General features: G+C 33.1%; 1 protein-coding gene and 1 long non-coding RNA gene across 8 annotated transcripts in view; both read left to right on the plus strand.

Moving 5' to 3' along the window:
- Nucleotides 1–11,966, plus strand: part of CAMKMT (calmodulin-lysine N-methyltransferase) — a 410,646-nt gene that overhangs the window by 27,201 nt on the left and 371,479 nt on the right. For all 7 annotated transcript variants that reach the window (XR_939723.2, XR_007081736.1, XR_939722.3 and 4 more), the window contains exon 3: nucleotides 1,094–1,158. Coding sequence is in view for 4 of the 7 variants with exons in the window: in NM_024766.5 (NP_079042.1) it covers nucleotides 1,094–1,158 (65 nt within the window). In the remaining 3 variants the exon portion in view is untranslated. The remainder of the gene's footprint in view (nucleotides 1–1,093; nucleotides 1,159–11,966) is intronic.
- Nucleotides 1,165–11,964, plus strand: LOC124905998 (uncharacterized). The gene is made up of 3 exons (XR_007086301.1): nucleotides 1,165–4,381; nucleotides 11,626–11,738; nucleotides 11,873–11,964. It is a non-coding gene; the product is annotated as an uncharacterized LOC124905998 (long non-coding RNA).

Below are 11,966 nucleotides of genomic sequence, written 5' to 3' on the forward strand. Positions count from 1 at the left end.
CTGAGCTCAGAATCTCCTTGGGTGGGTCTTGCTGTAGCTGCTGTGGGGGATGGGGGTGAGATTCCCAATACCTCCTCTTCTTATAAAGAAACCAGTCACATTGCATTAGGGCCCACCCTAATGACCCTATTTTAACTAAATTACCTTTAAAAGCCCTATTGCTAAATATAGTCACCTTTCGAGGTACCAGGGTTAGGGCTTCAGCATAAGAATTTGGGGAAAGTGGGAGGCACACTTCAGTCCGTAATTCTATATATCACTTATGACAAGTTTTAAATGACAAAGTGAATGTTGAAGTAAATTTTTATGAATTATCAATGGTTATTACAAACTTTTATAACATTCTAAAGAACTTCAGCTGTAAATTATATGGGAGAGAATGTAGAGGATTGTAGATGGATTAGCACTAATTTTTTTTTTCCCCTGAGAAACTCAAACTCTATGACCTATTGCACAATTGAGTCTATTTGTATATAACAAATAGTATTTTTCATAGGTATTAATAAAATATCAGTGTCAAGTCAAATATTTAAAAGAGTTGTTAACTGAAGCGGGATTAGAATTAAAGGCATTAGAATTAAGATTAGTGGGCAAAAGATACAAAAACTTTGCTCCCTGACATTCATAACTGTCTGTAGATGGAATAGCAGACCTGAAGATTGGCTATTTCTTTGTGACTGAAGTTCTGAATTTTTTGTGCTGTTATAGAGTAAATTTATGTATTGTTGAGTGTGGTTCTGGAAGGTGATGATTTTTCAGCTTGATTCTCTAAGTATACTGTGTGGGTTTTTGGCTTTAAAAAGGTTAAGAACTTCCCTTTACATAATGAAAACCCAACAAGTAAATATTATTTGTTAGTACTTTAAGATGTAGATTAATCATTTAAAAAGTCATTATGTTAAATATTCTGAGGACCATACTGTTATTTCTTTCCTTCTCCCTCTAGTGGGCAGAAAATATTCTTAAAATATAGCATGGAATAATTTATTGCTATTGGGTATACCATAATATACAGTCTCAGTCTCAGCTTTTTTGAATACTAAAAATGTTAACATTTCAGAATCATTAAAGCAAACGCTTTACTCCTTTCTAGGCATAATAGTGGATCCTTGAATGTTGAAGATGTCCTTACCAGCTTTGACAATACAGGAAATGTTTGTAAGTTATACATTCACTCTATAGAAATATATTTAGTGTTTTACAAAGTGAATTTATAGTTGATGTTTTCTTCTCACTAATATTTATTATACTCACTAAATGTATGCATATATGTATATATAATAGAAAGTTTGACTGTCTTTAGCTGCAAAATAAGCCTTGTATAAGGTACACCGACAAAATGGGATACTGCAGTTTCTAAACTTCGCAGGTGTGTGTGTGTGGGGGGGAGGTGGGGGAGGGAGAGAGAGAGGGAGATGGAGAGAGTAGGTCAGAAAGAACACTGGACACTGAAGTACTGTCCCTTTTATTTTTGTTTCCATTTTGACCTCAGTTAATTCAGTAGTGGGGCTGTTTCTTCCTTCTTTGCTTTGTTTCGGGTGCTTTCTTTGCCATTCCCTGCTTCTTTACTTTCACTGTAGAATAAACCCAGAACATATTTTTCTTGATGCTACTATACATTAATACCAGAGTGTTTTTGTTTGATGCAGTATTACAATATTACAGAATATATTGCCTTTTCATCAAAGCTTCTGATTAATTGGTGATAGATTTGTCCACTGAGAAAATCACTTAAATATTTCTTATAATTCTTGTAATTAATTTCATGTGATGAAAGACATCAGCCAAGAATACCTTTATGTCACTGAGTTAAACAGCATACCATCATAGGAGCTATGGACTTTTTATGTTTTTTGTATAGGACATTTCTCTTAAGATAGTGAATTGTCAATGAAATATGAGCATTTTAAATGTAAAAATAGTACTCATACTCTTTTTCTCAAAGAAAATTTCAGAACTGTTAACTTTTGGCTGAATTTAGGTAGTGTCTTTGGCTTAACAATGCAGTTTTATCAAATAAATAGATTTGCATAGAATTGTGTTCAGTAATACTCAGACAACACTTTTGTTCTTATGTCCACATTATGATAAGCTTTTGATTTTATAGAAAAATATTTGTGGTTCACTAAGGAATCTATAAATGTCCTTAAATTATCCTAAATACCTAAAATAATGTAGGTTTCTTTTTTATGGATAGTGACTGATGTGCCTTTTAGTTTCTTTCTTTTTTTTTAAATTTTCCAAACACCAACTTGAACCCGAATGCCTTTTAGTTTTTCCATGTTGGCATTTAGTGAATTCTCTCCCACTTAGGTGTATCTCATATTTTTATTAGGTCTAGGCAAGGACTGGGCAAAGCATACCAATGATGGTTGAGGATACATACTCTTTTAGTTCTGGGGTAATGTTAAATATCATTGAGTCAGGCTTAAACATATGTAATTTCAGAAAATGATTCTAGAATGTTAAATGTGGAATTTTTGATTCAGTAATGTAAAAGTCAAGTATTGTTCCCAGTTGGCTCCGTATGAAATAGGGCCACTAGCTGACAGCATTATGTAAAATAAAAATAATTTCCTAAAGGCATCAATTATTATTTTAGGCATGAATGACTGTCTTAGCCTTCTCTAACATTTTTTCCCATCAACTTGTTCCATACCCCGTGTTGTTGTTGCATGAACAAACGGAAATATTGCATATTCAGGGTGTTTTTTCACTGTTGTCTCTTGTTTGGTAGAAAGGTTTAAGACTTTGGAATGATACTCACCTGCATTTGACTTCTGGCTCTGAAATTCATCTTGAGCAATTTGTATCATCTCTATGAACCTCAACTGTTTTCATCTCTTAGGGCTGGCTGTGTTATAAAGAAAGTACGTACATACTGCATGGCTGAGAGTTGATATGCAATAAAAGTTATTAATTATTACTGGCGATGAGTACCTATATAACCTCTTTTGGTTTTTTCCTAATAAAGAAGATAATATTATTAGGATTATTCTGTCTTATACTATTTTAATTGAACTAACAGGGCAGAAAAATTAGATAAAATTAGCAAAATAGCTGTTTATTAAAATGCCTCATTATAAATGTTGCCTTAAAAACCTGGATATATTGCTGAGTGATAGAAGTGGTGACAAAAATAAGACCTCTTAAAATATGTTGTTTTGTGTACCTTTTATGTTTACTTTTTATTTTAACAGAAAAATCTATATAGATGTTTCATTTAATGATAAATTGGTAAAGTCCTGTTCCAATAAAGTAAATATTGATTATGACTTTTATATAATCTTGGACGTAAAGTAACCATGGACTGAAAAAGTGATTTTTCACTTGATGCCTCAAAAATTTGATTTTATTATGCCAATAGTGATATTGAGTTTGTGACTAGAAAACCCAGCAGAGGGCGCCACAATCATAATTCTTTGTCATAGCCCAATATAATTAGGATAAATAGCTCAAATAATAACCCTAAGCTTTTACCATGTAGACATATAAAGATGTGTCTAAACATTTCTATTTGATTCATTTATAATATATTTAATATATTCAGTAATTCAAAAATACAAAAAAATAGATTTTTCCTGGCCGATTTTTTAATTTTTAAAAATATCAGTTTAATTTTTCTACTTCTAGCTTTAAATAAAGAAGTACTTTTGATAGAGAGTGAAAGTTCCATACAAGAGTATCAGTTCATAAATCACCACCATGGTAGTATGTTAAAGGACAATTAGAATGAGGAAAAAAGTTTCTAATAGATGAGAGAACCAAGAGATGGAATTATCTATTTATTTTAAGAATTTGTTTCTAGGTTAATAATGCTTCCTAGTAATAGAAAAAACAGCTTAACTAAAACATTTTCTAGTCACAAAAACCTGATATGTGTAGATACAGTAAAAAAAGGTATGGTCATGGTTTAGTAGAACCATTAATTTCAATTGTAAGTTCATTTTGAATATCAGGGGATGATTATATTCATTGCAAATTTTCAGAGATGAAAGGATCAGTCTTACCTTCTGAATTGGTTTATGCTCTAAGTGAAAAGACGTGGAAAAATCTCTTTAATTTTGGAAAATAAACCTCTAGATAACTTATTTACTATTAGAAAAGATAATTTTTTTGTATTTACTTTTTTGTATAGAAGTTTTGTGGTTTTAAATGTATGAACTGCAAAGTGTTTTATATTTTTGAGGTAACTTTTCATTGCTTGAATTTCTTCGAATGTTGTGGGAAGAAATTAAGAGGAATCTCGTACAGAATGAATCACGTCTGCGTATTGATTTATTGCTGTGTGATATACGACCCAACCTTCTTTTTATATATTTATATTTACTATGGTGGAAAACAAACCATTTTGAAAGTGCTTACCTTTAACTAGGAATAGGTATGTATATTTCATTATTTGGTTTCTACTACTTGAGAACCTACTTTCTTTTGAGATATCAAAGCTTCTTGGTCAGGAGGTTGTGTCTACTATTGATTCATTGTGCCCAGAAAGACATGCTGACAAGCTACCTAGGGAAGAGTATAGGATGACATCTTTCACCTCAGATGAGGTACTGGCTGCTTCTGTGTCTCCTTTGATATGTCGCTCAGATACCTTGGGTAACAAGGGAGTGCTCTATAAGCATTGTAGCAGATTTCTTGCTTCTGCTTTTTCTGTGGGCAGGGACTCCTTTCTAGCTTGTCCTCTGACCTCTGGTCAAAGAAGCTGCACCATGCTGTCTCTTCCAAAATCATTTTCCTTTTCTCCAAAGTTATTTCGTTCCACTACTGAAAGGAATTTTTAAAAATGTAATTCTCAGTGCTTACTTGATCCAAATTTGGATACCATAGTATCTAATTTAACTATTTGTTGTTTATAACATCTCATCTTATGCTTGGGTCTGTAGTAGATTCATTGGAACATTTTAAGCACATCATCCTTTGTTGAGTAGTATGAACAGAAGTGTTAGTACTTCGTATAATTTATTATAAACTATGTACAATATAATGTATATAATCCTTTAAAGGATAGGAGGTCAGCAGTTAAATCATTTCAGTAATATCATTGTGAAGCAGGATTCCTGGCAAATGTTGCAGCTTAAGTCTGGGGGATGTATTGGTAAAACTTCTCTACTATTCTTTGAAAAAAATTTTTTTTCTTGGTTGAGCTCCATGACAGGACCCTGTGGTAGTTGGTGTCACATTATCTCCTGGAGGAATTTGTAGACCCTCTGCCATATATACTTGTACATGTGACAGTGGTGATTTTTGTTTTCCCTAGTGAATTCTAAGACTGACCAGGATTTTTTTTTTTTTTAATGGAGTTTCACTCTTGTCCCCCAGGCTAGAGTGCAATGGTGCAATCTTGGCTCACTGCAACCTCTGCCTCCCAGGTTCAAGTGATTCTCCTGCCTCAGCCTCCCGAGTAGCTGGGATTACAGGCGCCTGCTACTATGTCCAGCTAATTTTTGTCTTTTTAGTAGAGACGGAGTTTCACCATGTTGGCCAGGCTGGTCTCGAACTGCTGACCTCAGGTGATTTACCCGCCACAGCCTCCCAAAGTGCTGGGATTATAGGCAAGAGCCACTGTGCCTGACCTGACCAGGATTTTTAATGCACACAGCTATAGACTTTGCTTCCTAGTGGTCTGATAGCAGAATCTGTTTGTCTGTTTGTGATGTATCTAAAACTGATCTCTTTTGGGGTGGTAATCAGTTATTATTGAAAGCAAGACTCATTAAAATAAAAGTCAGGTGTGGAGGTATGTTCCTGTAGTCCCAGCTACTCAGAAGGCTAAGGCTGGATGATTGCTTGAGCCCAAGAATTTGAGGCAAGCCTGGGCAATATAGCAAGACTTTTCCTGTAAAAAAAAGACAATCAAATATTTATCTTCCTGGTTTTTCTAGAGGAAAAAAAATTATATGTTTTCACTTTTTACTTGTATTTAGGAAACCAAAGGTAATAGTTTCTTTGGAAATATGGTCTAAATTTTTAGTTTTTCTGTTTCATTGTTGTTATGTTATAAAGTTAGGGTTTGGAATGTTGGTGAAATTATCAAAGCTTCAAGAATGTCAGCTTGGATTTTAAAATGCTATTCTTATTCAAATAAAGATGTCTATATATGTAATGCATATGTATGTGTATATGTATATGTAGTTATATAATGCATATATGTAGCATGTGTGTATACATATGCATATATACATATATGTAGTATATGTGTATACATGTACATATGCAGATATATAATGCATCTATGTAGTGTATGTGTATACATATGCATTATATATACATGTATGCATTGTATATCTATATTTATATACAGATATATACATATACACAGTACAGTGGTTTGATTAAAAAATGAAAAAGTTGGGCTTTTATGGGTCATTGCTCTGTTTTTAATTTAGAGTGGTTATGGAAGGTACATGGGATATGAAGTTCAGGTTTTAGCTCTGCGGGTTATTAGCTGTGTAATTGTAGACGAGTCTTTGTACAAGTCTTAACTCCTTATGTAAAATTGAATAGGAAACAATAAGTACTTTATAGTGAGGTGAACATAATATTAGATAATGTGAAAGTACCAAGTAAACTGTAAATAGTATTTGTATTTTTTATGGTTAGTAATATCATCTGCCTCATTCTTGAATTTTTTCAGTACCTTTGTTATTCAAAATAATACAAGATAGAAGATATTTTTGGTATGTGCCATTCTGTTTTAATATCATACATTATTTTGTTATGTGAAAACAATGTAAAGCTACACAATTAAAATAGTGTGGCATTATTGCAGAAATACACATATAAATCAATATTTTTAGAATAAAGTGTTCACAAAGACCTAAATATATGTGACTTAACATATGATGAAGATACAATTTTAGTAAGAGAGGAAAGGATGGATTCTTTAATAAATAGTATTGGGACCATTGCCTAGGAATTTAGGAAACTAATAAAGCTGACTCCCTCCTATATACTATATGCCAAAATAAATTTAATATGGGTTAAGTATTTAATTAAAAACATAACACTCTTAGATATTTCAGATGAATAATTTTAATATATTGAAATCAAGAAGGTCCTTCTAAGTGCGAGTCAAACACCATGAATTTAAAGGTTAATAGATTGACTAATTTAAGATTTAAAGACCCTTTATTCAAAAAGCGCATCAAAAAAATTGAAATACAAATTACACACTGGCAATTATTATTTATGACATATATTCAGATGAAGATGTATTTTCTTTATAAAGAGCTCTTACAAATCCATAATAAAAAGACAATCTGAAAACCTGTAAGATAGAGAAAAACGTAGCCAAAAATTTAAGAAGAGGTATTTCACAAGAGAAATAGCAATGTTCTGTATGTACATCAAATGGTTATTTTATTAGGAATTGAAGGAATGATTTTTAAAAGTGAGATAATTTTTGCTTATCAGGTTGGCAAAGATGAAAGAAGTTAAGCAGTAATCAGTAAATTGTAGGGAACTGGGTATTCTCATACACTGTTGGTGGAGGGGGGTAGGTAAATTAATTCTACTTTTCCAGAGGCAGTCTGATTATATCTTTCATAATTTTAAATATCCATATCTTTCAACTAATGATTACCTTTCTAAAAAAAAAAAAAAGAAAGAAAGAAAGAAAGGAACCAGGATGGGAACTGTGGCTCACACCTGTAATCCCAGCACTTTGGGAAGCCAAGGTGGGCGGATCACAAGGTCAGGAGATCGAGACCATCCTGGCCAACATGGTGAAACCCTGTCTCTACTAAAAATACAAAAATTAGCTGGGCGTAGTGGCGTGAGGCTGTAGTCTCAGCTACTCAGGAGGCTGAGGCAGTAGAATCGCTTGAACCCAGGAGGCGAAGGTTGCAGTGAGCCGAGATTGCACCACTGCCCTTCAGCCCAGGCGACAGAGTGAGACTCCATCTCAAAAAAAAAAAAAAAAAGAAAAAGTACACAATATTTTGTTTTAAAATAATACTTTTCTTGAAGGAGCTCACAGCATGTTAGATGTTAATGTATTAGTCCCCCATTACACTTATGAGATAAGGAATCAGAGATCAAATCATTTTAACCCTTTCTTAGGTTGGGAAAGTACAAAGAGGTTAAAGTCAGTCAGTGGCAGAATATTGAGCTTTGGGAATAGAAAATTTATAAGTTGTGTTACAAAATAAATATTTAAGGTCATCAATGCATTATGTGGTTAGAACGCATGGGTAATGATCAGCAGCCCTGAGAGTATAGGGGACCTGAAAGCCAGTGGAGCACTGATGGTATGCAGCATGGCAGTGGATTCTTAGTCCCTCTTTAGCATCGTAATGTACATGTAGTCTTTGATTCTTAGTCTGTGTTAGAATTTTTGAAGGTTGGCTTCGGTTGCTAGATGGCAATTTCCCTAGCCATGTGTCTCCAACTTCTTAGCTCCACAGTTGTCAGGACGGTTTTTTCTTTTGGCTCAAAATCAGGTAAGCGTGCCCCTAATTCATAAACAGAGCCCTACACGTTTGTTATCAATTACCAGAGAAGGAAAAAGACACATTTGTTATCAATTACCAGAGAAGGAAAAAGACACATTTGTTATCAATTACCAAAGAAGGAAAAAGAAGTCTCTTTTTAATGTATTTTAAAAATTTCTATTTGAAATAAGAAACCACAGAATTGGAATGATTCTTTGACAGTAGAACTTGGTGCTATCATGGGAACTGACTGAAATAAACCCTATAATCCTTTGTAGATTCATATGCCTTAATCAGTGCAATAATATAGAGAGGTAGCTCATGTCTTTGTCATAAACCTGCTAGTTTCTCCCTCTTTTAAATATCTAAAGGGATGTTTCTAATTTAGGTACTTCCAAGTTTTAGCACAAGATATGCCAAGAAAGTCTTTTTATTTTTCCCCCGAGCAAATACTGAGTAGTTTTCCTTTGTCTGTCTTTTAAATAGCTACCATTACTTTTGCATCCTTTACAGTATTTGTCAGGAGCTTTGTAAGTACTGTCCCGTTTAATAATCTTAACGTCTTTACAAGGGGTGAGGAAACTGATGTCCAGAACAAGGTAATTTGCTTAAAGATTTAGTAGGTGGTGGCACAGGAATTTAACTATTCTACTTTATTTCTTAAAGGCTACATTTCTCCAAAACGGCGAGAAATGAATTTTAAAAGTTTGTGATGGGAATTGAAACAGAAAGTGGTAACTTGAAGGGCTAGAAAATAACTTTGGCAAATGGAATTCTGTGCAGCAGATTGTGTCTCAGAGGAGACTGATTAAAGGTCAAGAAAAATGGGCTCTCCAGGGTTTCTGCAAGGTAGTTGACAATCTAATGGAATGGGGATTTGGGGAGTGTGGATAAGGGACAAAGAATGCGTTTTCTTTTAATAGTCTTAAACCAAATGCGGGCTTTGTTTTACTTCAGTTTCTTTCTTTTTTCTTTTCTTTTCTTTTTTTTTTTTTTTGAGAAGTGCTGATTTTTGTAACGATAATACAATAGTAATAACAAGTTATGTTTTAACATAGCCCCTTCTCTAAGGTACTTCTCAAGCTTATGGCTATATATTTTAAAAGTGCTTACATAAACGTAAATCACCCAAAGAGCTCAACTAAAAGGATGTTCTTGATTTTTAACAAAGTTGTTTGGATTGTGGATAGCCTTTCCACAGAGAATTGTTATATTTGACATTTATATGAACTGTGTATATTGCACTGCTCTTGTTAATGCTTGATAAGAACAAAATATTTGATGATTGAATGAATTTAGTGTTTGTGTGTATATACTCCATGTTAAAAAAAATTTTCTCTTCTCTGAACTTTTACTCTCCACTCAGCCCTGAGTCTGAATATTTTCATTATTTTCTGGGAGGTGGGAACAGTTTGCAGGAAGGAATAAGGAAAAGTTTCCAATCATTCTGTGTGTATGAGATTGAAAAGGCGCATGTTTTGTGTAATTATAGATACGTCACATGCTCACAATCTGCTTGTCCTGGTATACTGGATCAGGTGTAGTCTTTGCTGCACATGGTAAATTCATAGTTCGTCTTAAGCCTTTGCCCTTCCAGGGTTTTGAAGATCAGACTTCTGTATCACTTAATTTCTGATTGATTTTCTACAAAAAAGTATTGTTTTTAATTGTGTGATAGTCAAACACAGACAAATAATATTTTGGTTAATCCTGGACTTTGTTTTTATTTTAATACTTGGTGACTTAATCAGAATTTAGTGGGGATTGACTGCACTGCCATTAGATACAAGTAAGAAATGATATGTGTGGGATGAAAACCACAAGTTCTCCTCTGCTTGTGCCTATCCTCTGAATTTCTTTAAAAGAGAAATTAATGTAACAATAAATTTGTTGGGGGAGGGGGCATTGATTCTTATTGCCCTCTTTGATCTTTCTCTTATTTCCCACAGATTTGTTACCATTTCCCTTTTTTCCCTCTCTCATCTCCTGCCATCTCACATTGCTACTGGTTCTACACCTCTTAAATACAAAATAATCAAGAAAAAAAAAAAGCTAAGAAAAAATTCTAACTCTTGTATCCATCATAAGAAAACTCTTGTCTTCCATTTTATCCCCTTTCCTTCTGATTTCGTCATGATAGAATTGAGGAAGACGGCTGTCAATGTAGGATTTTTCTTGCAGGAGGTGAGCCTGGGGTAGGTAGACTGGAAGAAGAAGAGACAGAAACAGACCAGGTTCTTTTAGTTAGGGTGACTGTACAGCCTCGTTTGCCTCCAGTGGTCGCAGTTGTTCTTATCATAATTATTAACAATGCTTACTTTCACTCCCAAAAGTGCTCTGATTTGGATGATAAATTATATGTGTATGTTTAGAAGACAAGGAAAGAGAAAGATTGGAAGCTTAATTATTTATAGTCATTTATAACTCTTTATCCCAGCATAGTACCTTTCACAAAGCCTGACCCAAGTGGTATTCAGTAAGTATGCATTGATTCATTTGAATCCCAAGTCATACCCAAACAAATCTGTTCATTCTACACAAGTGTATTTATATTTGATATGTTAATATGTTCTATATAATGGAGAGGTAAATCTAAGTTTCAATTTTAGAGGACATATACCACAAGCCCTATAAACTAATAGAAACTGAGTTCAGAACACATACATTTTTTATTTAGGTAATACAATAATTTTTAAAAAATTACAACCAGGATTTAAAAATCAGAAATATTCACATAAAAATGTCGATTTTTCAGTTTCTTTTAGAGAAAAAAAAAATGATCTAATGGCCCGAGTCTGAGCTCACATGGTAATTATTATATGGAATGAGCAGGGTCTTTATTTTGCCTTGGCACTCACCACTCTACCCATGGACATTCAGATTTGCAATCCCTGATGCATATTGTATATTTGGAAGCATTTAAGATGTTAAACTTTGTATATTTAGTTATCTACTTAAGATGAGCCAATTCTCATTAGTCATGTTGTTTATCAAAGCTATTTAAATGAAATACTTAAAAATTCTTTTGGTGATAAGCCTTTTTAAAAAAATTCAACAAGTTAATCATTAATCTTTGGGAAATATTTTTTCCCATACCATCCATGAATGGCAACAGCTATTAACAAATATTTATATTATTTTATTGAATAAAAAATAAGCTAACACTATTTTAAATATTTTTCAACAGCCAGTATCTTCGAGAAAGCGTATTTTTGAAACATACTTATTTGAGTTAAAATTGTGAAATGCATTTAAAAATTGAAATTGAAAGTAGAACTACTGGAGAAGTTTTAAATATTTGTGAGTACATGTATGTGTGTATGTGCATGTATACTTATGTGTGTGTATATATATATATATATATATATATATATATGTATGTACATAAAATACATAGTTAACTTGTTCTTCATTTGGTTCTTGTTTATTTATAGATTGGAACAGAAAGAGCAATCTCCACAAGTGTTTATTAAGTTCCTATTATGTGCTGTCCTGCATTTTCAATTCTCAAATGATTTATCAACTTTG

Source organism: Homo sapiens, chromosome 2 (genome assembly GCF_000001405.40).
Source record: "Homo sapiens chromosome 2, GRCh38.p14 Primary Assembly".
Classification (NCBI taxonomy): Eukaryota; Metazoa; Chordata; class Mammalia; order Primates; family Hominidae; genus Homo; species Homo sapiens.